This window comes from Homo sapiens, chromosome 4, assembly GCF_000001405.40.
Source record: "Homo sapiens chromosome 4, GRCh38.p14 Primary Assembly".
Classification (NCBI taxonomy): domain Eukaryota; kingdom Metazoa; phylum Chordata; class Mammalia; order Primates; family Hominidae; genus Homo; species Homo sapiens.
In genome coordinates this window covers 184354679-184382356 of record NC_000004.12, presented here as the reverse complement: position 1 = coordinate 184382356, position 27678 = coordinate 184354679, and the positions used below count along the sequence as shown (strand labels likewise).

Sequence of the window (27678 nt, the reverse complement as noted above, 5' to 3'; positions counted from 1 at the left end):
GACTTCCAAATCTCTTGCAAATGCATATAATTGGTTGAACCTAATTCACAGTTAGAACCCCAGCTGCAAGTGAGACTGGAAAAATGGCTCTCAGAGTTCCCGCCTCTGCAGTAGAGGAAGACACTCCAGAAGGAGTTGAGAATGGGTGCTGAGTGCCTCTTCAGGATGTCTGTCACACCTCAGGAAACCTGCCAGGAATACCAAAGGGAGTGAAAAATCCAAGGTAAGAATATCCAGAGAATGAAATCTGCATCCCATACCTTCCAGAGTAGTTGGGAAAGCAACATATGTAGTGGGAAGAGAATACGTTTTTTGAAATCAGATAAACCTGGGTTCAGTCTGCTCTTATTTGCTGACGACTTTGGGCACATCTCTTTGTATCTATGAGAAAAAGTTTCTCAACATATAAAATGGGGGTATTGACACCTTACTTGCAAGGTGAGAATTAGATAAGATAATGTAAAGTATGAAGTACATTGCAAGCACTCAGTTATATCAGCCACACCATCTGCATATAAAATAGCTAAGATCCATATTTTGGAGCACTGATTCCAAAGTACCCATCTTCTCCCAGACTTCCATGAATTCAAGATTTGACCACTGAGGCTGTCAGAGCTCAGACATGTGACCCCAGTTTCTATATAGCTAAAATTAGTCTTTCCTTCTCTGAGCTATCCCTTTTTTGAGCAAGCCTCATTCTGTTGTCAAGTGGCATAAAAGGAGCTGAGAATTTATTCCTTTCTGGTAGAAGTTGAAGGGGATATAAACCTGCTGGCAGTTAATTCAATTTGATTTTTGTTTTTTAAGACAGGGTCTTGTTCTGTCACCCAGGCTGGAGTGCAGGCTCACTGCAACCTCTGCCTCCTGGGCTCAAGCCATCCTCCCACCTCAGCCTCCTGAGTAGTAGCTGGGAATACAGGTGCATGCCACCATGCCCAGCTAATTTTTTTGTATGTTTTTTGTAGAGACAGAGTTTCACCATGTTGCCCAGGCTTATCTCAAACTCCCGAGCTCAAGTGATCCACCCGCCTCAGCCTCACAAAGTGCTGGGATTATAGGTGTGAGCCACCGTGGCTGGCCAATTTTGTTTTTTAAACAACATAGATTCAAACAAACTTTTTAAGCTTTATAAAGCCACCCAGTAGAATTACATTAACTTTTGATTATTGAAGTGATTCTAATTTGCTTCATTCTGGCCGTTGATACAGTTTCCCTTGTGGACCAGTTTGCATTATAATTCCCACTAGATCCTGGGATTCATGACATTTTGACTCAGCAATTTTGAAATTGGGAATATTTCAACATATTCATAAAACAGAGCCACAAACGTTAAGCTTTTGTGCTTTCTTGGTATCTTTCTACCCTATGCTAGAATCTCACACTCAGGACAGGATGAGGGAGCTTACATGGCAGGTGCTTTGTCAGAACCTAACCTGTGCCAGGCATGAGGGCAGGGCCAGGCCTTCTGTGTTATGTTTGCATAAACAGATTAACGTAGGGGCTGAGGAGGCTCCTGGGAAAAGAGCTAGAAGAGCTTGCAGAGAAGGGATCCCAGGAAAAGAATCTAGCCTGAGGATGGGGCCAATTAGGCTCTGAAGGTGGTAGGAGGTGTTCTTGGTACAGTGTCTTGACGGCTGCCTGAACCCGTGAAGACACCTGCCTGCTTCAAGGGGTGTGTGTACCTTGAAGAGAGAATGGCTGGGAGTGTAAAACTGCCACTTCAGGTCCCAGTCACCCCTTGTATTAGCCCGTTTTCATACTACTATAAAGAAATACCCAAGACTGGGTAATTTATAAAGGAAAGAGGTTTAATTGACTCATAGTTCCACATGGCTGGGGAGGCCTCAGGAAACTTACAATCATGGCAAAAGAGGAAGCAGGCATGTCTTACATGGCGGCAGGTGAGAGAAACCCGTGAAGGCAGAACTGTCAAACACTTACAAAACCATTAGATCTTGTGAGAACTCACTCATTATCTCGAGAACAACATGCAGAAACCACCCCGATGATCTAATCACCTCCCACCAGGTCCCTTCCTCAACAGTGGGGATTATGGGGATTACAATATGAGATGAGATTTGGGTGGAGACACAGAGCCAAACCATATCACCTATATTAAGCAGAGTTTTCCCTAGCTATTTCTTAGTGGCCTGAGCCTGGGTGACAGATCAAGTAGAAGATGAGAACTTCCCCAGTAATGACAGAGGCATATGGCCCGGTAAAAGTTCCTAGACATTCTGGAATAGGACTGCATCAGTAGATGCTATGGTCTGAATGTTTATGTCCCCTCGAAATTCATATATTGAAACACAATCTCCAATGCAATAGTATTAAGAGGTGGGGACTTTGAGAGATGATTAGGTCATGAGGACTCCGCCCTTATGAATGGGTTGATGCTCTTATTAAAAAGGCCTAAGGACGCTTGTTTGCCCCTTTCACCATGTGAGGACAGATAGAAGGTGCCATTTATGAGAAACAGGTCCTCCCCAGACACTGAATTTGCTTATGCCTTCATCTTGGACTTCCCAGCCACCAGAACTGTGAGAAATAAATTTCTATTGTTTATAAATTACCAAGTCTGAGGTATTTTGTTATAGCATCCCAAAGTGACTAAGACAGTAGGGAAAGCAGAAGCCTTAGCTAAGGAATGAAAATTGCCTAAAGGCAGAAAGGCAGTAGGTAGGCCGTTGGCCCAAGCAGTGGCAGCTCCAGGGCTAGGGATGGCAGAAGTGTACTTAGTGGATTGGCACACAAAAGCAGAGAACCCTGGATACTAAAGGTGGGAGGGACCTCAAAAATGGTAGTGGAGGCTGGGCACAGTGGCTCACACCTGTAATCCCAGCACTTTGAGAGGCCAAGGTGGGCAGATCACCTGAGGTCAGCAGTTTGAGACCAGCCTGGTCAACATGGTGAAACCCCGTCTCTACTAAAAATACAAAAATTAGCCGGGCATGCTGGCAGGTTCCTGCAATCCCAGCTACTTGGGAGGCTGAGGCAGAAGACTCACTTGAACCCAGCAGGCAAATGTTGCAGTGAGCCGAGATTGCGCCATTGCACTCCAGCCTGGGCAATAGAGTGAGACTCCATCTCAAAAGAAAAAAAAAAGGTAGCAACAGGGGGTGCTGCTATTGAATTCCTGAGGTTTCATAGGCTGGGGTCTCAAGGTTAGGACTTGAATGTTTAGGACAGCTCATGTAGTAGTAATATGACATCATGTGTACCTACAGGTTGGGAAGCCCTGGGACATTGAAGTTACAACTGGACGATAAAAACAGAGTTTTTTCCTTGTGACGTGACCACTGTGATGTAAAGCTGTATCTCCTTCATTTCATCAAGAAATTCTTAAAATTCTCCCCCAACGTGCTTTCATCTTTCCCTTCATTGCCAACTCTGTAAGAAGTACCACGCCTTTTCTTTGAATCTGATTCTCCTCCAAGAAGCAATGCTTCTCTGAGGCTTTCACCTTTGCTCACATCAAAGCCCCCACACTGAATAAATACCATCCTTACATGCCCTTCCAGAGACTCCACTAATGGACGAGCTTCATCCAGCAAAAGATAACTGGGGAAACTTCAGCAAAAGGACTGTTGATGAAAATTTGCTGTATTTGATTATATAGCTAAGACTAAAACAGGGAACATGGTTGGAATTATACTAAGTAAATATGATATGTTCTCACAAAGTAGAAAGAATGCAACTAACTAATATAGAAGAAGAGGGAAAGTAAAATAGTATTGTTTACAATTTTATAGGTATTGGGTGTGAGTTAAATTATACCACTTAAAATGAACAGAACAGACAGTAAAAAGTGAAGTAAGAAAAAAGGACAGAGGTATCATAAAAGATACAAATTCAGAGGTATTGAAATACTTATGCATCAAAACAACTATGGCAAAATTTTACTGATTCAGTATTATGCCTATGAAAATTATTCAGTTCAGTGATTTGGAGAAGAGGGTAAAGAAATGTTTACACATCAGAATCTGTGGAGGGGAGAATGTGTGTCTGGAAAGAAAATGGTATTTTGTCTCATTGGTTTGATTTGTTTTTAGTTATAATATTTCATCTATTTTGAATTTTATAAAAATAACAGTAATGTATGTGATTTTTATGCTGATGAAGAGAAAATGGATTCAAAAAGGTTAAGAAACACTAATCCAAGGGAGCCTCCAGAATAATTGTGGCCATCTGAATTTGAACCTCCTCACAGAACCCTTAAATTCAACAGGAGCACAAGATAATCACCCATGGTCCATGCCTTCAGCGTTAGTGGAAGATGGAGGATACCGCAAATGTTAAGTGACCAATAAGTAGAGAAACAAACACCATATTCCCAATGAACTCCCATCACTTATACCCACTGTAAGCTGTGTGCAGAGAGTGGGAGAGAGAAGACTTAAAATCCCCAGGAAAAAGAGGAAAGAGGCAGAGAAAACTTAGACATAGCATAAACAAAATCACCTCCAGAAAGTAAAAGTTTCACTGCTAAGTGACACATTCACAGCACAGTTAAAGGGAAGGGGATTGAAAATAAGCAGAACCAGAAGTAGCAGCTTCAAAGGAGCATTGCTTCTTGGGGAGAATCACATAAACTAAGAAACAGTAGTGCTCCTTAGAGACTTGATAGTGATGAGAAAGAAGGAGCTAAGAGGGAAAAATAGAGGATCTTGCAGAAATTAGAGAGAAATAAGACATAATGGCCCACTATCCCATTACTACCCATTTCTGCACTGCACTGACAGGAGAGGATATTCCTGAATTAAGAACCTGTCCAAAAAATTTTAAAATAAATTTTAAAAAGCAACCTAATTCCAAAAAGAGCTACTATTAGAAGAACACATACACACACAAATGCGAATCATTACAGTTTAACTGATGAGAATTCTTAACCAAAACCAACCAAAGAGCAGAAGAAAACTGTAACCCAACATTCCAAACTGAAGTAGTTATCTTCAAACAATGGGACGTATTTAGAAAAAAAAAAAAACCCAGAAACAGAAATTTGATAACTAAGGCCATAGTGGGCACAAAATAGGAAGACATGCAATGAGTTGATTGAGCTATGGAATGAAATTCAAGAAAAATACAAAATCATTTCAAAAATGAAGAATAGATTACAAGGTAGTGAGGGATAGTAGATTTGAACATTGAACAATTTCAACATTGAAAAGGGGCAGTAAAATAACGAAGGGAATAAAGAAGGATGTAAACAGGGTTAAACACAAGTGATTGGAATGGAGGATGGGCAAATAGGATCCAACATACATATGATAGGAGCTCCTGGAGAAGAAAAACAAAGCAATGGAATGGAACTGTAATTCAAGAAAACTTTCCAGAAAGAAGAGAAAATATAATGTATGTATTGAAGAGGCCCACTCTATATCTAGAAAAACTGACCTAGAGAGAATAACTGAGATATTTTTAGTAAACTATGAGGCTTTAAAGGTAAACACACACACACACACACACACACACACACACACACAGATAATCCTCAGGGCCTATGTTATTTTCCTGTGGCTGCTGTAACAAATGCCCACAAACTTGGTGGCTTAAAAGAATAGAAATGTATTATTTCACTTTTGGCCAGAAGTCCAAAATCAAAGTGTCAGCAGGGCTATGTCCCCTCCAAAGCCTCCAGGGGAGGATCCCTCCTTGCCTTTTCCAGCTTCCAGTGCCTCCAGGTGTTATTTTGGCTTGTGAGTGCATGACTCCAAACTCCACCTCTGTCTTCACATGCACTTTTCCTCTTTATCCCTGTCTCTTTCCTCTATTGTCTCTCTCAAATCCCCCCTGTGCCTTTCTCTTATAGGAATACTTGTCATTGAAATTAGGGCCCACCTGGATAATCCATGATGATCTCATCTCAAGATCCTTAACTTAATGACATCTGCAGAGACTGGTTTATCAAATAAGGTAAGATTCACATGTTGCAGGGACTTAGACATAAACATATCTTTTTGAGGCCATTATTCAATCCACTACAGGGCCTCCAGGCAAAGAGCTCAAATTACTTATAAGGGTAAGAATACTAAACTGGCATCAGACTTCTCGTAAGCAACAGACAAAGCAAGTCAATAATGGAACAGCCTTTTAAAGGACTTATGAACAGAGTGTGAGCCAATGTTTTTATATCCAGCCAGGCTCTTTCAAGTATCAAGATTAAAGTAAAACAGTTTCAACATGCAATAACTCAGGGATACTGTACACATGTACAGGAGGACTCTCCTAGAGGTTGAGCTTTGTTTGAGCAAAACTAGAAAAAAATTAGCAAAAGGACTGGTGGTGAAAATATATTTTGTGGTTGATATGGTCTCGTTCTGTGTCCCACCCAAATCTCATCTTGAATTGTAATCCCCACAGTTTGGGGAGGGACCTCCTGGCAGGTGATTAGGTCATGGGGACAGTTTCCCCCATGCTGGTCTCATGATAGTGAGTGAGTTCTCATGAGATCTGATGCTTTTATAAGGGGCTTTTCCCACTTTGCTTGGCACTTCTCTCTCCTGCCACCATGTCAGGAAGGACATGTTCACTTCCCCTTCTGCCATGATTGTAAGTTTCCTGAGGCCTCCCCAGCCATGTGGAACGGTGAGTCAATTAGACCTCTTTCCTTTATAAATTACCCAGTCTCAAGTATTTCTTCATAACAGCATGAAATGAGCTAATACAGTGGAGTATATTGCATGGTGAAAATTTAATATTTTTAATTGTATAGTTAAAACACGGGCGAGGACATGGATTAAAGAGTAGTATATATATATTATATGTTCTGAAAAGCAAAAATTATGCAATCAAAAAGAAAAGAGAGGGGAAGAGAGAAAGAAAGGAGAAAGCAGAGAAGTAGAATTAACAGTTAGGTAGATAATGGGTGAAGGAGAAGAGTATAAATGGTCATACCAGACAATAGAATGTTCAGTAAGAAGAAAAGGAAGTTAGAAGGGATTAAAATGGAATAAATACAACCACTGGAACAAACATACAAACATTCTGAAATGCCAAAAGAAATGAAAAAAAAAAAATAGCAAATACAATATGGCAATTAAAGAAGGAAATATGGTAAGTATGACACATGCAGTAATTATAAAATAATATGATACTTGAGACCAAATATATGAGTCATACCAATAAGTGGATTGGGCTTCAGTGGTTTCTTCTCTTTTCTTGTTATAGCGATGAATAAGCCAATTCTCAAACTGGCCCACAAGGCAAAACCTGACCTCATGCTATATTTAATAGACATACATCAAACATGGTGATTTAAAAGGCCAAAAATGTAAAAAACTGGCAAATATATACCAGAAAAATAAAAACAATAAGAAGGTAGGATAGTGATTATTATATCAGATGAGTTAATTCAGGCCAAAAAGCCTTAAATGAGACAATGAAATATACTATGCAATATTGAAAACCAGGTTTCACAGTTCATGTACAATAATTATGACCATGCACCAAATAACACAGCAACCACCAATATAAAACAGAAATCACACAACGTGAGAATAGGAATAGAATATTAAACACATTAATAGGAGACTTTAACATCACAGCCAGTACAAGACAGATTGAATGGGAAGAAAATAAACAAAGTTGTTTAAATAACTTAATAATAAAGTAGACCTTATGCATATTCAACACTATGCCCTAGTAATAGAGAATGTATTTTCTTTTCAAATATACATTGATCATTTTGAAAAATTGGCCATATAAGGCCGGGTATGATGGCTAACATCTGTAATCCCAGCACTTTGGGAGGCCAAAGTGGGAGGATCACTTAAGCCTAGGAGTCCAAGATTGCCAATATAGTGGGACCTTGTCTCTACAAAAAAAATACAAAAATTAGCCAGGTGTGGTGGGTGCATCTGCAGTCCTGGCTACTCGGGAGGCTGAGGTAGGAGGATAGCTTGAGCCCAGGAGGTTGAGAGTGCAGTGATCTGTGACCACGCATTGCATGATTAGCCTGGGCAACAGAGTGAGACCCTATCTTAAAAAGAAAATTCATCATATATTTGTATTTATGGTTGCATTAAATTAACCTGGATAGGCTTGGTAGACCTCTGCTTTTACTCTAGCTTCTGCCATGGTCTTTTCTAGTATAGTCTGAGTTGCATGCACAAGAAAAACAGTTCTCACTTCAATGTGTGATTAAATCCAAAAGTTGACAAGTTATTCTCTCTGACCTTTTCCAGACACAGCATAACAAGTATCTCCTTTTTAAGCACAGGATGTGGGATGATTGCAAATAAAATGTGCTTTCAGACACAAGTTTCAAGGGATAGATAACTCCTTCACATCTGCAGGCCTAGTTGGAGAAGTATTAATATTTGATGCTTCTGCTCCTGCAAGCCATTTGGTATGCCAGTCAGCTGGGCTGTGTGTTCCGTGCTATGGCCTGTGAGATGTACAATGTCATCACATGGCTATTCGGCAGGGTCAGTGGGAAACATGAGAAATGATAAGTTAGTTGCATATGAAATATGTGCAGAAAAGAAAAGCTGAGCAGTCCTTCCACAGAGCATGCACAAAGTACTGCTGCTTGTGCTACAACAGTTATGTCATTTATTGTAAAGTATATGTTATGGTTAATACTGAACGTCAACTTGATTGGATTGAAGGATATGAAGTATTGATCCTGGGTGTGTCTGCTGAGGGTGTTGCCAAAGGAGACTAACATTTGAGTCAGTGGGCTGGAAAGGCAGACCCACCCTTAATCTGGGTGGGCACAATCTAATCAGCTGCCAGCACGGCCAAAATAAAAAGCAGGCAGAGAAATGTGAAAAGACTAGACTGGCTTAGCCTCCCAGCCTACATCTTTCTCCTGTGCTGGATGCTTCCTGCCCTTGAACATCAGACTCCAAGTTCTTCAGCTTTCGGACTTAGGCTGGCTTCCTTGTTCCTCAGCTTGCAGACGGCATATTGTGGGACCTTGTGATCCTGTAAGTGAATACTCCTTAATAAACTCCCCTTCATATATATATATATATACACATATATGTATACGTGCATATATAGGTATATATATACGTGCATATATATAGGTATATATATACGTGCATATATATAGGTATATATATACGTGCATATATATAGGTGTATATATACGTGCATATATAGGTATATATATACTTGCATATATATATAGGTATATATATACGTGCATATATAGGTATATATATACGTGCATATATATAGGTGTATATATATGTGCATATATATAGGTGTATATATACGTGCATATATATAGGTGTATATATACGTGCATATATATAGGTGTGTATATATACGTGTATATATATAGGTGTATATATACGTGTATATATAGGTGTATATATATAGACCTATATATATACACCTATATATACCTATATATACACCTATATATACACCTATATATAATATATACCTATATACACGTATATATACCTATATATGTATATATACACCTATATACACCTATATATACCTATATATACCTATATATACCTATATATATACCTATATATACCTATGTATATACGTATATATATACACATATATATACCTATGTATATACATATATACATACCCATATATATACCTATGTATATACGTGTATATATATATACATATATATATATACATATATATATGTATATATATATACACACACCATTAGTTCTGTCCCTCTAGAGAACCCTAATATGGTATATACCTACACCATTTATTTTGTTATTTAGTAATTCCTTTTTTCTTTTATGAGAAACAATTTTGGCAAAATGAGCTTTTAAAAAAATGCATGCATGCTCAATGAAAAAGTATTACTGTCTTTTGGCACTCAAGTAGTTCATAATAAATAATGTAATTTGCACAAAATGTTTGAAGATGTTTGCCATCCAACAGGGACTGTGGCTATATCGCTGACCTCAAGAAAACCTGCGGACAAAATCTGCTAAAGAAGTATCAGCATCTATTTCAAAAGTTAGCCATTATTTTAAGAAGACTGTGCTGGAAGACGGGTATTTAACACAAACAGATGCAAAAGGTACATTTACGTGTCACTGTGAAGCAGTGATGGCTCCTTATTTAATCAGACATCTGCTCTTCCAAGTGCATTTTTTCTGCTTGCAATAGTGGCTCCCAGGGAAGGGGTGGGGGTACTGATGGGCCTGACGGTGGGTGGAAAAACCCAGGCCTTCTGTGTGCCATGCAGCAATGTTCAGCAATGTAAAAAATGAGGCCTTTTCCTATTAAGGAAATCAACCCAGGTAAGTCAGGTTTATCTGAAAGTCTTTGTGCTGAGAGAGGGGTTACATGTGGAGGATTTCATGGCCAGAAATGAGAGGAAAGGGTTTCTAGCTGACCCAGTAGGCGGGGGTGGGGGGTGGTATTCTTGTTTTCTTTTGGAAGGGACAGGGTCTCACTCTGTCACCCAGGCTGGAGTGCAGTGGCGCCATCTCGACTCACTGCAACCTTCGCCTCCCAAGCTCAAGCAATCCTTCGACCTCAGCCTCCAGAGTAGCTGGGATTACAGATGCACGCTACCATGCCCGGTTAATTTTTGTATTTTTTGTAGATACGGGGTTTCACCGTGTTGACCAGACTGATTTTGAACTTCTGGGCTCAATCAGTCCACCTGCCTCGGCCTCCCAAAGTGCTGAGATTATAGGTGTGAGCCCCTGCGCCTGGCCAGGGATGCCGTTCTTCACTCTCCAGTAAGCAGAATGGCTCCAGAAGGGAGGGCGAGGGCTAAGGGGCAGAGGCCTGAAGTCCTGTTTGCTTTATCTTCTGGTTTCAGTGTGTGTGCAGGGCTGCGAGCGCTGGCAGGGGCATCTGGCTGCCCGAGGCACACACGGGTCATGCTCACTCTCATCCTGGGGCTCTGAGCGAGGGTGACACTGAGCCCAGATGCGGTGACTCTTTCTTCCACAGCTTTGAGTAAATTTCTTCCAGAGACATCTGCATCTTGGCGCGGCTTGGCTTTGCCCTCCTGTATAGGTTCTTATTATTTATTTCCGGAATTTCCGGAGTGGGGCATTTACTCTTCATTTTAAAGGACTGGCTGTGTGGGAATTGTTTCAGAGGCGGCAAGGCACAGCTCTTACTGGTAAAACAGAAAGGGAAGGGCATTTGTGTGGGGACTTTTAACCACAATGAAAAGGTTGTTTGCTTTATAGCCATTAAAAAGAAGGGGAAAACCTCCCACCAAAAGGCAAAATAACCACACACATGAGCACACAAAGCTGCAAAATTCTTGGATAGGATTAATTTCGAATTCCTTGATTAGATTCAAGTTGGTGTTTCACAATAGCCACATCATTACTAATTCAAAGGAAGTTCAAGGCCTTGGGAAAGAAAGCCTCCATCTCTTAGCACAGCCGTGAAAATATGCATTTTCCTGTAAGCCTTCAGAAAATGACGTCTGAGCTAGAAGAAATTAACCTAATGGCAGTTCAGGCAGGAAGCTTAAAATAAGCTTAACTGTTGTCTTCTTCCTTTTTAGGTTGGTTTCCCTCCAAGCTGGGATTTGAACTCTCTTATCTCCAGGGTTAGGGTTGCAGACGGAGTTGTAAGGACAGAAAGGGAAGAGGAATACACACATTTTTAGCTGACGGACTTGGCCCCAGCTTTGCAGGCTAACTGAAACTCCCAAGGCCTTGAGATTTTTGAAAACTGCCATATTTCCTCTAGTTGAAGACTCATTTTATATTTTTTCACATGTTAACATTTATGAAATTGGGATGTGTAATGTACGCCCTGTCAAAAAATTTTCCAGCAGCCATTTAGAGGAGTGACACGTCCACGTGGCCTACCTGGCCTGTGGCCACACCTCCTTAGCCAGCTTCGTGGAAGTATCTGTTCATCCATTTTGTCACTTTGTTTTGTTATTTTCATTGGTGGCACAGCACACTGTTAACTTAGATTCATGTCCCTAATTGCCACTGAAAGTGTCTTTCACAAAGATAACTCTGCTTTACAGCATTGGAGCAAAAGTCACCATGCGTGCAAAAGATTGCCTGGCACATGCCAGGCATTAGGCATCGCCCCCACTGCACAGAGTAAATGACACACTTTTCAAAGCAAGGGGAAATTGGTATGACTACTTCATGCACCATTAAAAAAAAAAACTATTATTCAGGCTCCAAAATCTTTAAAAGCTTCTAGTGATTTTCAAAAGAAGCTGCTTAATGTTTATCTTTAAAATAAGGAAAAACAGAATTATAAGTTTGGCCAAAGAGGAAATGCCAATAAACCACTAGGATTCTCTATGATGCCCTCAAATTACATTGTCAATCTTAAGTGTGCTGACGAGGCCAAGCTCATAAGCATGGCCGGAAACTGGCATTCTCCATACCGCTGTGAGTAACTGTGGGTGTCCAAAATCATGTGGAAGAGTATTTAGTCTCTGATAATGAAACAGGCCAGAGTTAAACTTTGGTAATGAAAGCAGCATATAATGGCATGGATAAGTGAATTCTAAAGTCATTTAAGAAGACACACAGTAAGATGTGCCTCTCTCTCTCTCTCTCTCTCTCTCTCTTTCTCTGTCTCTTCCTTTCTTTTCCTCCCGTTTTTCTTTCTTTTTTTTTGGCGGGGGACAGAGTTTCATTCTTGTTGCTCAGGCTGGAGTTCAATGGCACGATCTTGGCTCACCGCAACCTCTGCCTACTGGATTCAAGTGATTCTCCTGCCTCAGCCTCCCGAGTAGCTGGGATTACAGGCATGTGCCACCACGCCCGGCTAATTTTGTATTTTTAGTAGAGACGGGGTTTCTCCATGTTGGTCAGCCTGGTCTTGAACTCTTGACCTCAGGTGATCCACCTGCCTCAGCCTCCCAAAGTGCTGGGATTACAGGCGTGAGCCACCGCGCCAGGCCCCTCCCTTCTTTGTTTCTAATCTCTCTTCCTTCCTTCTTTTCTTTCTTTCTCCCACTGAAATGCTGCTATTAAATTGATAGAGTATCTTATAATTGATGGTATCTTGGAATTGGGGAAATAGAGTGTTTGTCAGGCTGCTTGACTTAGCAGCTGAGGGTTGAAGGGATGGAGATAATTTCAAATCAGCGAGATTACTGGATTTCTTTTTAAAAGGTGCTGGTGAGATAGAATCACCATAACAGAGTCAAGCGCAGATAAAAAAGATCAGCAAAGGCCAGATTCCCTCAACTTATTTTGAATGGATGGAGAAATGGTGAATCTTCGGTTTGTGAGTATGACCAGTGGGTCATATGGGCAGAAAAGCAAGCGGCAGTCTCAAAAGCAGAGGGCATTTAGAATCCAAGGTTCAAGCTGGAAGAGATCTTGGTCACCTCCTTGTTGAATGCCTTAATTGAATGGATGAGGAAAATGGGCTCATATGGCAGAAATAATCTGTAGAGCTAGGACAGGATCCTAGGTGTCCAGCCCCCTGTTCTATGGATTTTCATTTGGAGAAGTCAGTCATGTACCTGCCTCAGGGCCTTTGCACCTCTTTTCTCTTTGCCCAGATCATTCTTCCCCTAAATAGCCACATGGCTTTCTTCCTCATCTCCTTCAAGTTTTTGCTTAAATTTCAGTTTGTCAGTGAGGTCTTCTCTGACCATTTAGACCAGAATATGCCATCTTAAAATATGAGTATGGAAGACAAGAATATGCCACCCCAAAATATGCTTCTTGGGCATAAGGATTATTTTGAGCTGATTATTTTGAGAAACTGCAGACACAGGAGTTCTAATCTGAAAACAGATCCCTGTGCAGGGGAAATCTATACCTATCACGGAAGTCTCTGCTTGTAAGAGTGTCTCCCTCTCAGTATCAGGGCAAGAAGGATGCGTGGAAGTCACTGGAGACTTTTGTCAATGAAGCAGGTGCTGACTTAATTCTCCAAAACAAACCTTACCCTTGTCTACCCTGAGTTTCCTGTTGACTTCCCCACAGCACTCCAACCAGCAATGAAGGAGATCTGAGGTCTCGGCATCCTCATTCACACCTGGTATTGCCAGTTCTTTCTTTTTAATGTTAGCCATTCTCATAGGTGTTTGTATTTTCAACTTACACTTCCTTAATTACTGATGATGTTGATCTTTTCATGTTTAATAGGGTGGAAACAAAGTTAAACAGATTTCTCTACGGCAGCAGGACTCAGAGCTTTTTTGAATTGTCTGACGGGCAGATTGCTGGGAATTCTTTTTCTATGGTCAAGTAAAGATTACAAGGCTAGAATTCCAGCGAAGCTATTTTGGCAAATACTGACCTACATGATTGAAGGGGTCCAGAATATGCCACCCCAAAATATGCCACTTTGACATACGGCTTATTTTGGGCTGCAAGCGATTGAAAATGAGCAGATGCAGGATGAATCCTCTGCTCTCTTTTTCTACCTGAAACCAGGGCGTAACATTCCCTTTGTGGAAGGTGTTCCTCGACTCCCATAGCAGGAAGTGTAGAGCAACTCTTACCATCAAAGATGGACAGTCAGCATTGAGATGAGTCTGCATAAACAAACTTTTTTTTTTAAAGTTTGTTCCATTAATCTCCCCCATGTATTTGCTAGTCACTTTCCCACAATTTATCATCCCTTTCCTTTGTTAAAATGATATATACGTCCCTGAGCCTAATCACTTTGCATTTCACTACTTTTCTGTGAACTCCTATGCACGTAAAAATATAAATACATTTGTATTCCTTTTCTCCTGTTAACCTGTCTTGCGTCAGTGAAATTTACAGGCTCCAGCCATTCAACTTATGGGACAGAAGAAAGTTTTTCCTCCCTAACGTGATCAAACACATATTCTTCTAGAGAGCATTTCATCCCTTTCCGACCAATTCATTTCATATTACTTCCTTCTGATTCCTCTTCATAACAGAAACATTTTGGGGTTATCAACTATGCTACCTTCAAGCCTTTGCTCATGCTATTCTACCTGCTTGGAATGCCTTTCCCTTTTTCCTCTTCTCACTTAATCTACCCAGCCTTTCCAGTCTTCCTCCTGCCTCTTCTGTCAGAAATGAGGCAGGAATAATACAGGGTGGTCGCAGAAGAATAGAAAATTCTAGGCAGGCATTTCACATGACTAGCAAAAGGAAACTGTTGAAATAGCCACAGGAGCTAGGGGCTGATAGGACCCTGAAAAACTAGGGTGTGGGCCAAGCTGGCTAAGACCGACTAGACCCAACATGGTGCTGGATTTGACTCAGGTTTCTCTTAGGCCCTCATTTTTCATTCATTAACATACAAATCACATACCCACCAGTGCCATGACCGTTCCAGGAGCACCCATATTTGGTGTAAAAGTGGGTGGCACCACAGTTCTGAGAAATATCCACCTTTTTCGAGGAATTTTCATGAATATTCCACCCCTTGGTTAAAGAAACTCATAAAAGTAGCAGCTCCAAACACCCTTGCGCACAACTTTCTCTGGAGTCCGCTTGCCCTCCCCTATCTTGAGTGTGTACTTTCACTTTGCAACAAATCTCTGTACTTTCACTATTTTCTGACTCATCCTTGAATTTCTTCTCCCGATGATATCAAGCACCTGGGCACTGGCTGGAGTCAAGGTCCCACTTGTGTTTGGGGACCTGCCTAGCCCACCGGTATCATGACTGGGCCACTCATGGGACTCATGATCAGATCCTGACTAGCTTTTTTCTATATTTTCCCAAAGGAGTTCTGCTCCATTTTTCTAACTAAATAGTTAGTGGAAGGCCCTAGTACCCTAGACCTTTTAAAAAGTCCCTTGATACATTGAGCTGAGCATAGCTATTGCTTACAAACATTTACTGAATTCGTACACCGTAAATCAACAGGCATTTATGTCAGCTCACTTAAATGTTAGCTCTTCATTTAGCCAGCTACCAAGAATAAATGTCAAAAAGAGAACTTTGTAATTCCTGGCTAAAAGGGGAGAAGACATTTAATTGGAAATTATGGAGCTCACAGCTGGCTTTCTTGGAACTTATAGATGAAATTAAAAGTGTATGGCCAAGCCTACCAACAAAACCCCCAAACCATTACTTCTCCTTTGACACATCATTCATGAAATGAAGGAATTAGAGAGATCACCCAGTCCACACTTATCTCCAAGCTGAATTGCACCCAAGGCTGGAAGAAACAAATGGAGCCCATGGCATTCAAATTTCTGTGCCCTTCTCTCCTCTCCTTGGTTCTCTCCCATGTTTTGTCAAACTTCCCACACCCAGCTCCTTAACCAAAGGGACTGGCTAGGTCAGGCAGAGGTTGAGTCAAGAGTGCTCAGGTGTCCCAGGATGACTGTCAAGAGTGGTGGCAGCTCTCCTATGTCTCAGCCCCCCAGGAGCACCTCAGCCCTGCAACGGCATCAAACTGGGTGGCACACACTAGTATGGAGCCAGAAATCAGTCAGTGGGAATATGATGCACCCAATTTTACAGTGACTGTGTCCTGAAACTCCCTGTCCTTTGTTCTTTCAACAAATATAGATTGAGCAGCCATTATATATCAGGCACTATAGGAGTTCCTGGAGGATACTGGTCTGAAGTTAGCATGATCTTGACTCAAGAAACTTATAGTCCTGATAAGAACTTCCACCAGAATTCCAGATGTAAGTCATGTTTCCTAGGTTATGCTATTGGTGGTGATGGTGGGTGAGGGAAGGAGGGTGGGTTGAAATAAGAGCCTACGAGTAGTCACAGATTTGTATGGCTTTGACTCCCAGGCATAGGAGTTGGGAGTTTTGAGGGTCATCAGTATATGAAGTTCTTTGATCTTCTTGGCTTCCAGAAGGCAGCACAGGCCTTGCTGTTTGCCCATGCCCATGCGGTCAGCTCTCTTGGGTACCGTGGCATGCAGATGCAGACACTCACCCAAGACACCCTGTAGTGCTGATTACTGGCTGAAGACACTGAATATCTGATATAGTTTGGATGTTTGACCCCTCCAAATCTCATGTTGAAACTAGATTCCCAGTGTTGGAGGTGGGGCCCGGTGGGAGGTGTTTGGATTGTGGGATTGGATCCCTTATGGCCATCTTGGTGCCATCCTTGTGGTAATGAGCAAGTTCTTTATCTACTAGTTCCTGAGCGATCTGGTTGCTAAAAAGAGTCTAGCAGCATCATCCGCTCCCTCTCCTCCTCTCTTACCATGTGATATGCACACACCGGCTACCCTTCACCTACTGCTCCAGCACCACGCTTCATGTACAGCCTGTAGAACTCTGAGCCAAATAAACCTCTTTTCTTTATAAATTATTGACTTTCAGGTATTTCTTTATAGCGACAGGAATAGACCAAGACAATATCTATCTATCATCTATCTATCTGTCTCCCCACTCCCACTTCTGTGACAGGAGACTTATCACCTAGTCCTGCCCTCTACCCAAGCTTCTGTGACCATCCCCCACTCAAATCTGCCCCAGCAGTAACCTCAAGCGGGCTTGAGTCCTTGTCACCCCAATTTGCACTAATTTTGTTTCCTATGCTTCAGAATTGTACTTGTTAATATATAAAAATATTCAGGCTGCCCTAGTTCATGTAACACCTTTGAGAGGTGGCAGTGAGCAACCACTTCCGCCAGGTGCACACAGCCCCACACCAGTGTGCAGGGTCTGGTCAGTGGAGGACAGCCTAGGTTGCAGCTGAATCTTACCTCATCAGGGCACAGCCAAGCCAGGTCCTGAAGGCATGGCCCCTGGCTGGATTATTGTGAGGCAGTAGACACCTTCACAGCTATTTGCCTTATCTTTATGACTGTTTCCCAAAGGTGTCCCTGACTTGAGCTCAAAGGAAGGTCTCTCAGGGCCGCCCATCCTGACTTTCTGGTCACACCACAAATGACCCTCCCAAGGGTCACATCTTCACTAAACACACCTGGCCCCCTCCAGACCCCACCATTGCTACAAGCCTGAGGCAAGAGGGTACCACACTTCTCTTCTCTGTCTCAACTCATCCACATGGGCCTGGCTTTCACTAATTCCTCACAGCACGGCTGAGACCACAGTGTAATGTTTAACAGGGTTTCATCAGAGGTCAAGGCTAAAGGAAGGAATATAAAACCACGAGGGTACCACACTTCTCTCCTCTGTCTCAACACATCCACATGGGCCTGGCTGTCACTAATTCCTCACAGCATGGCTGAGAACACAGTGTAATGTTTAACAGGGTTTCATCAGAGGTCAAGGCTAAAGGAAGGAATATAAAACCACACAGGGGTGTTCTGGCTATACGATAACCTCACAAAGACATGGTATCAATATATTTCCCAAAGTCTGGTTTCAAAAAGTCTTGGGATGCAGCATTACACATGGGCTTGCTGTGACAAATACACATACTCCTGGACTTACGATGGGGTGCCATTCAGACAAACCTGTTGTAAATATCACAGCTTAGCTCGACTCCCTTAAACATGCTCAGAACATACATCAACTTTGCTGGGCAGAATCACGCAGCAACACAGGACAACGTAGACTGTCAGTTATTCACCCTCACGACTGTGGTGGACTGGGAGCTGCGGCTCACTGCCACTGCCCAGCATGGAGAGGGAGTATCATACTGCACATCACTAGCCTGGGAAAAGAGCAAATGGCAAAATTCATTCCAAGTATGGCTTCTGTTGAACGCATGTCACTTTTACACCATCATAACATCAAAAAATCGTAAGTTAGAGACCATCTACTTAACAGAGATTTCAATGAAATAGTGCCTTAGATTGTGAAGTATATATTAATTCATTGCATTATTAATTAGGATTTAAATTACTAATGTACCGTCATAGCAGCCTTTCTTGGTAGAACCTCTGTGGACTGGGCTAGAGGCGCTGTGCTGATTTTCAGGCAGAGCTGATCTTGTTCCTGCAGCTTCAGGATGGGTTGTAAGGAAGGTGAAAGAACAACGTGCAATACGGCAAGTTGCAACATGGTCACAAATTCTTTGGCACTTTTCCCATCAAGAGGTAGGGGCTGTGTCCACTCCCCTGGATTCTGGGTCTGCTTTGACCAATAGAGAATGGCAGAAGTGGTACCGTATGACTCCCAAGGCCAAGTCATGGAAGGCAATCTAGACTTGCATTGTTGCCTGGTAACATCTGCCCTTGGGGCCCTGAACTTCCCTGTGAGCGGTCCCTGGAGCCTGAGGCCGCCATGCTGCAGTGACCACAGGTAGATGCTCTGGTCACCAGCCCCAACTCAGCCAGCCGCCAGCCAGCCCAACTCAAAGACTGGACATAGGAGCCAAGATGTTGCCAGGTCAATGGGTCATCCAGCCCCATCCATCCTAGCCCCAGCCATGGGACTCAACATAGCTGAAGCCCCAGACATCATGGAGAAGAGCCATGCCTTCTGTTCTCTTTCCAAATTCCTGACCTACAGAATCTGGGAGCATAAGGATGAAGTGGTTGTTTCATGGTTTTTTATGCAATAATAGGTGAGTGAAACATGCAACCTCTTCTCAATCACTTCCTTAGCCTTAAGAATTAAATCCTACATCCTTAGCTCTCCAAGTAGAAGACTGGACAAGTCATGCTGCTTATTTTTCCTTCTTTCATTTCAGTTGCAGTGGGAACTAGTTTTGCAGGCCTGTTCGCTTCCCAGGGCTGTTGTAAGAAGTTACCACAAACTTGGTGGCTTAAAATAACAAAATGTAAGACCCTGGGAAGAACCTTAGAATGTGTTCAAATGGTCATAGGTTTATAAAATTTGCAAAAGTAAGACACTTAAGCAATGGAGACTGCTGGTTATTTCCATTCTTGCTTCCTCTCTGTTTCTGTTTTCTTTGCGTGGGTGCTGGGAGTGGCCCGGGGTGTTTTTCCATATTTGCTTTAGTGGAGTTCAAGTTAGAGATATATTTAGTTTTGGTTAAATGGGACCTATTTATGTGGTTTTCTGACAATTTCACATATAGCTGAGTTATGAATAACCATCCTGATGAGGAATGACTTCCAGGAATACTCCCTGAGCCCACTGGGCTGATTTTCCTGATGTCAAGACATAAATGTGCAGCGTCAGAGAACGCAGGGCAATTGATACCAGCCCTGGAAGTGTGTGGGGAAGGGGAGGAAAAACAATGTTTGAAATATGTGGAGCCAGCAGCTCGTCTGTGGGAAATTCTTCCAGCCATCACAGGATAAAACTGTTGGTAGAGGACTTGATTCTTAATGATGCTTATTCAAAAGTGTAGTTCTCCCCAGTTCAGAATAACCTTGGGGATATAGTTTAGATACATGTCCTCACCCAAATTGCATATTGAAATATAATTCCCAATGTTGGAGGTGGGGCCTGGTGGGAGGTGATTGGATCCTGATGGCAGATCATGAATGGTTTAGCACTATCCCTCTTGGTACTGTCCTCATGATAACAAATGAGTTCTTGTGAGCTCTGGTCGTTTAAAAGTTGTATCACCTCCCCCTTGCTCTCTTGCTCCTGTTCTGGCCATGTGACATGCCTACTCCCCACTCGCCTTCCACCATGATTGTTAATTGCCTGCGGCCTCCCTAGAAACTGAGCAGATGCCAGCACCATGCTTCCTGTATAGCCTATGGAACTGTGAGCCAGTTAAATCTATTTCCCTTATAAATTACCCAGTCTCAGCTATTTCTTTATAGCAATGTGAGAACAGACTAATATACTTAGTAATGCAGAGTATACAATTGTAAGTTCATCATACTTATATTTTTAGCTTTTGATAGGAATTGCATGAACCAGAATTGTCAGACTTTCTATATTTACTGGCCAGGAATCTGTAGCATTACTATAAATAATGAACATGTCTACAAAAGCTCCTGTATGAAAGGCCGTAGGGATTTCCCGAAACTTGACAACAACCCAAATATGTGTATGACATCATTAAGAATGAATTGTGAAGCCAAAAGAAACTTTTCCAAGCTTCTTGATAATAAAAAACAAATTTTGACCAAATATGCTGGAGAAAAGGCTGCGTTATATTTCCATTCTCCATACTTGGTCTTAGCCAAAAGTCTGAGAAGCAATTATATTTCTTTTATAATTTCTTTTGTAAATTATATTTACAAAATTATAAAATAGGCAGCTAATAAACATATGGAAAAAGTATGATAGAGATGTTTTAAGCAGTTATTTAAAGAAAAATCTTAATTTTTTGGACTTCACGTTTGTGTTATTTGCCATTTTTTAAAAAATTATTTATTGTCTTGTGTTCTTTTCTTATTCTAAATATTAACACTCATATATAATTTTATATTTATAATCTTACTTTTTTTCCTTAAACAGGATGCCTCAAATTTTATAAGCTTTGGGATCCCACAAATCCTGAATCTCCCTGTCTCCTTCTTTAACCCACCCAAACCGGACTGGAATTTCTATTTTTCCCTCCTCTACTTTCCCATATTGAGGACCTGACTTGGGAAGAAGGTAGCCTGCACTGTTATCTAACTTGACAGATAGTTGTTGACCAGGGCAAAACGTTTATGCTAGGTTTTCTTTGGATTTACGTTTTGGGAGCTCAAAGCATGAATGAGCTTTGATGTAGTGGCAGAAATGCTGCTTGGGCAGGGAGTCACGCCTCATTCATTCTTCAGTGGGGAAAGGGCTGATGAGTGGGTTTGTGGATAACAGGGGAGGCAATAGCATGGGTTCCCAGACTTTAAAGAGGCCTATTAAATCGAAAGTTATCCTGGGTTTTGGAGCAAGGGAAGTAAAACTTCCTTTCTATTTTCAAACAATTTCATGCATCCATGACAAAGAAATATTGAAGATGTGGCCTCTTGGGAACTGGGAGCACCAGAAGTTGATTTTATGTAACATTTTCAGAAATAACTGTGGAATAGAATTGTTCAGTGAATTTTCCAAGTCTACAGTGTCATCGAAATCTTTCATTAATTGAATAACGATGTTAAACTGTAGAAAGAACTTTCAAGATCCCAAGAATGGGTAAAATGATGTTGGATTCCCTTAGCCCTGCAATATGAAGTTAGGTGAATGAGGGAAAGCAGCCAAGCAGCTCAGACCCTGCCTCTAACATAATTTCACCTGTGACTCTTGTTATACCCTGAAGACATGCGCTGGAAGGAATCCTAACACAGGCCTGTGGGTATTATTGGGAAGGACAAGGAAAAGAGAAAAGGGGTAGCACTTAAAACAGAAAATCGATGAGTCCCTGCTCCTGACATGTTGCCAGTTGCCCCCATGAAGTTAGGGGAGCAGAGAAAGAAACCAGTGTGATTGAATGGATCTTCAAATGGAGAACAGATGTTGTTACATGTTTACTTGTTCACAGCAGTATCTTTAAGTCTGAAAAATGGAAAGCTTCCAGGTCACAAAGAATGCGAAGGAACTCAGTCAAAGCTAAGGATCCTATGATGTGTGGGAATTTATGGGCAAATTCTCGAAGCTCAAAGGAGGTAGCTTACAGGCCGATGAGGGTATGTACTATCTCACACTGTGGAGAGCAGGCTCTGGGGACTCTGGCACATAAACAACAACAACAACGTAGGGTAGGGAAGGGCTGTGTGTGTAAACAAATAAACAACCTCTGCGTACATATCATTATTTTTTCCTAGTCCCAAGGATTCCTCAGATGCCTCGGAGGGAGGAATAGGAACTTCAAAGTGATGCTCAGCTGTGCGAGGAAATGTGAAGTCTGTTATTCAGAGAAGTGAGAAAGAGCCTGTCTTTGGAAGCAGGACCTGGATTTGAATCTAAGCTCAGCCGCTTACTACCCTCTGTGGACTTAACCTCTCTGAATTTCAATTTTCTTATCTGTAGCATGGCCATGAGAATCCTTTTCTCCACAAACTCACAAGATGTTGTCAGGATTAAATAAGATAATATATCTAGGACTTGATAGACTGCAGTCAATAGATGACAAATCTTTTTTTTTTTTTTTTTTTTTTTTGAGACAGTCTCCCTCTGTCGCCCAGGCTGAAGTGCAATGTCACGATCTCAGCTCAGTGCAACCTCTGCCTCCCGGGTTCAAGTGATTCTCCTGCCTTAGTCTCCGAGTAGCTGGGATTATAGGCACCCACCACCACGCCCAGCTAATTTTTTTAGTATTTTTAGTAGAGATGGGGTTTCACCATGTTGGTCAGGCTGGTCTCGAACTCCTGACCTCAGGCGATCCACCCGTTTCAGCCTCCAAAAGTGCTGGGATTATCACAGTGAGCCACTGTGCCTGGCTGACGGCATATCTTATGAACTCATTTTCACCTATACCTTCCTAAGGCCTTTGTTACAAATAAATTATAAAATACGTGTATGTTTACATGCGAGCATTTTCATCTGAAGTCATTGGTTCATGGCCGTGCTCTATTTATTTATTATGTATGAGGGACATGCTGGCAGGGGTCCTTCCTGTAATTCCATCCCACTGCTGCCTCCAAATGCAATTGCAAATCTTCCATTCTGTCAAACCTTATGAAATTATTTCCATCAACAAATGTCAGCTTTGGAATTCTCCTTATAAAAGCTCATTTCAGGCTTCCTTGGAATTCTTAAATAACTAAGCAAGCATTTGAGATCTGATACGCACAGGAAAGCACTGGCATAGGAAGAGATAATCTGCCTTAAATGCATACACACTCACAAAACAGACATTGTTCTCAGCACTTTCTTTTAATATTTTGGGGGCCAGGCTACCTAGTCAAATGCTGCACAGTAGGCTTCTTCTGAAATCAGCCTCCAGCAAGGGATTAGCACCAATTCTGAGAGCTGCCATTTATTTTGTTTACAGTCCCTGTGCAGTTTTGGAACACTGTGTTCCCTTTCTTGTAAGGGCACAACAGCAACACGGCCATGTGGCACTGGACAGGCTCCCCACTTCATGCTAGAGTTTCCTTTGGGCTGGCATTTTTTGCAAACAGCTTTGGGGCCTCTAGCTATCTGGTACAAAGGAAAAAGCATGGGCTTTAGAGGCATTCAAACAAACCTGGGCTCACCTTCTGCTGTCGTGTGCTATGTGCTTACTTAATCTGACTCTTAGTTTGTTTTTGTTTTCTTCTGCAAAAGGGAAATAATAAAATTATAGTCTTTGTAGGAGCAATGTGAGGACTGAATAAGACAATGAGTGTAAAGCACCCATGATAGTGCCCGGCAATGTGAAACACTCCAATAAATGAAGTAATTATTTTAATAATGGCAGTTAGGGAATGTGCAATGTGCTTTTCTTTGTTGTGATTTCCAGTACCAAACTGCTCTGCCTTTGCTTAAAGAATTCAAAGACACACATAAAAATGTTTCACTGTACAAGGTTCTGCTCAATGATATGACTCTTAGCAGTAGTAACTATCTTTTCAAATGCTCTGGTGGCCTGGCAAAAAGGCTGTATTAGTGACAAGTTGGTTACTCTCTGAATTCCTGCGGCCTTTTTAACCTATCTGGAGAAAGACAAGGCACACTTCCCTGGTTTGTTAACTGTGAAGAAGCAGAAGTGAAGAGAAGTGGACCTCGTACTGATGATGACATGAACACTTACAAGAATCCAAAACAGCTGTTGTAACTCTGCAGCTCACCCTTGGCATGGCTAAAGAGGGGTGGGTGTGGCCAGATTATATGTTGTTGATATGCACAGTCATGTGCAATGGACACTCACTTTTCAATGAATATGTTTTCTACAAACTTCTTGCACACGGGAGTTACTCTATCAAGGTGAGTGTACCATGCTTACTGTTAGTGTCCTGAGAAGGCTTACTGCGGTGAGTCTCATCAGTGGGGATGAGTGGGTGGGTGTTCGCTGTGTGTGTGCCAGGCATTTACTCTAGGAGGCTGGTGGCAAGCATCCCACAGCATGGTGGTGGGGCATGCATCATATGGCACGTAGGAAGGAGAGCACAGCTTAGAATTGCATAGGCCAGGACTCCAGTCTTAGCTCGGCTGCTCATCAGCTACCTTGAAGGAGCTATCTAACCTTGCACCTCATTTTAAAATAAAAACAATAATGTCTACCTTGCAGAGCTGTTGTTACTATTATAAATAAAAACTGTACTGTATTTTGCACAGTGCCTAGTATAATGAATTAACAATAAATCATGGCTTATATTTGCCATTCCTTAAAAATAATCTAGATTTACATAGGAGAGTGATGGGGCCACAGGGCAAGCTAACTCATTATGTAAATAAACAGATCTCTGAGCAGGTCTGCTTACCTTCAGCATTGAATCCAGCCATTATATCATTAGTAGCTACTCACAGAGGAAAAAGAACACCTAGAGTTAATTACTAAGTGAAATCCTGGCCAGGGCCTAGTTCCACAGCAAATCTTCTCGACACCTGAGCCTGCCCTGGGCCCTGCATATGCTGAGGTGTTCATCTATCATTGAGCACCAGAGGAACATGCTTTCCTTTCATAAGGACCTCCCATGTTGGTTGGCCTCCTTGGTGAATGAGCACTGGAAACAGGATGAGCTGGGCAGACCTAGCCTCATCCATCTTTGCTGCATCCCCACAGGAAGGACCATCTCCCAGCTCCAAAGTACTGCTCCAAATGAATGTAATACAGATCAAGACAGCAAAGCATGGTCTTATGGACCTGCTGGGACTAGGAGCGGTTTGATCATCTGTGGAGCTATCCCACAGGCTGGGGCTGGGTAGAATCCATAGTGTAAGTGACATGGTGGCCAAAGGTTGGATGTTCATCAGGGAATTCTGCTCCCCTTCTCTGTTGCTGGGAAGTGGCTGCTCAGCCAGAGAAGATGTTTTCAAGAGACACCTGCATCTACTTAATAATTTGGGCCAGGTGACAGTTCTGGCCATGGGAAGCTAGGAGGAAGTGATGTATGACACTTCCACACCTGGCCCACAAAACGCTCCGGCCCATCCTTTGCTCTCTGATCCTATCTGTTGGCAGCAGTGCTGGGGACATGCCCGTAGGATGGCAGAGCCTGTCTCGGCATAGGCTCCACAGGATTGTCTGGCACGTCCCTCATTCTTGCCTTGCGCCAATTCCTGCATGAGTGGGAAGTGAATTTCTATTGTGTTTCATCACTGAGGTTTGGGGCTTTTGTGTGGTAGAAGCCACGTTACCTTAATTCAAGGTGATTTGTGATTCACTTTCTCCAGAATGTCAGCCCAGGCATGCTGGAGATTTGGCTCTGTAGTGACCAGATAATTGAGGGTATCTGGTAGGGGATTACCCCAGGTAAGACCAAGTTACTTTGAGCCAACACTCAGTACCTGTTGACACATTTCAGGACAAGAAGGAAGCTTGACGTTTAAAAGTTAATCCTGTGGCCTTGATGCTGAGTGAATTTATAATGCAGAATAAGCCCCAAAAAGAGACATCTATTTACTACAAATTTTTATTATTTACTTATTGTTATTATCTTTTGAGACAGGGTCTGCTTTTGTCACCTAGGCTGGAGTACAGTGGCATAATCACGACTCACTGCAGGCTTGACCTCCCTGCCTTAAATGATCCTCCCACCTCAGCCTCCTGAGTATCTGGGACTACAGGCTGGCTAATTTTTAAACTTTTTGTAGAGACAGGTTTTCACCACGTTGTCCAGGCTGGTCTCAAACTCCTGGACTCAAATGATCCACCCACCTCGGCTTCCCCAAGTGCTAGGATTACAGGCGTGAGCCATCGTGCCCAGCCTACTACAAATTTTAAAGGCTCTTTCTTGGAATTTCATTATCCAAGTAAACATTTTGGGAGTTACCTGCTCCATAATTATTTATTGATAGATTTATTTAACTGGAAAAGAAACACCAAGGCCTTTATATTCCCCATCCTAGTTTATGCAAAATTGGTTAGATGTCTTAAGCAAAGAAAAAAATAGTCCTAACAACCACTTGAATTTCTAAATGCCTTAAACAATACCTATAGGCTACTAAACTGGCCAGATAATATTACAAAATTGGCTGTGCTGTGTTTTTCATTTCAACCCTTTCTCTGTAAGGAAGGGTCCCCAGAAAAGAACAGTTCACTTTCACTTCAGTAACTGGTGGAGATTATCCTCCCTTCCTTTTTCAGACTGTCCCATAGACTTCTTGCACTGGGAAATTTGCCAAGTTCCTCACATTTTAGCCACATAAGGCAAAACTCACCGGAAACATGCATTTCCCTTCTCTTCCAGCAACAATGACTTTACCCAGAGTCACCAGGAAGTCCTGTCCACTGTCAGCTGTGCAGTATGTGTGTGTGTGTGTGTGTGTGTTTCACCCAAAATGTGGCATGAAACAGACTTACATAAAAAACAACAGAAAGGCCTTTTTGCAGCACTGCTTGGAAACCCCCATCCTGCTTGATAAGCCTTCTTCGCTGTGTTGCCCCTGCAGGGGCCACTCCTGCCTAAGCTGGGTGGTGGTCCCCCACCTCACCTGTGGGCAGCTCATCCTGGAGGACACAGCATGGGTGAGGGGGTGCCTATTCTCAGTTGTCCCTAGGCACAAAAATTCTGCTACTTTTCTTTTTTAGGAAAGTGATTCCCTTCCAGAAAATATTTTTTTCTTGCTTCAAGTAGAATACTTTTTTTTTTTTTTTTTTAAATACAGGGTCTCACTGTGTCACCCCGGCTGGAGTGTAGTGGCACCATCACGGCTCACTGCAGCCTTGGCCTCCTCAGGCTCAAGTGATCCTCCTTTCTCAGCCTCCTGAGTAGCTGGGGCTATAGGTGAGCACAACCACTCTCAGTTAATTTTTGTATTTTTTGTAGAGATGGGGTTTTGCCGTGTTGCCCAGGCTGGTCTTGAACTCCTGGACTCAAGCGATCTACCCACTTCGACCTCACAAAATGAGGGCTTACAGGTGTGAGCCACTGCACCCGGCCAGCACTCTCAGAATTGATCCT

General features: G+C 42.2%; 1 long non-coding RNA gene across 2 annotated transcripts; it reads left to right on the top strand.

Moving 5' to 3' along the window:
• The first annotated feature begins 50 nt into the window (after window positions 1-50).
• Window positions 51-16796, top strand: LINC02362 (long intergenic non-protein coding RNA 2362). 2 transcript variants are annotated; one of them, NR_125933.1, is made up of 7 exons: window positions 51-223; window positions 5813-5916; window positions 9877-10018; window positions 10550-10688; window positions 13890-13944; window positions 16410-16531; window positions 16711-16796. It is a non-coding gene; the product is annotated as a long intergenic non-protein coding RNA 2362 (long non-coding RNA). The 2 variants fall into 2 exon arrangements; NR_125934.1 differs by lacking the exon at window positions 13890-13944.
• The last annotated feature ends 10882 nt before the right edge of the window (window positions 16797-27678 follow it).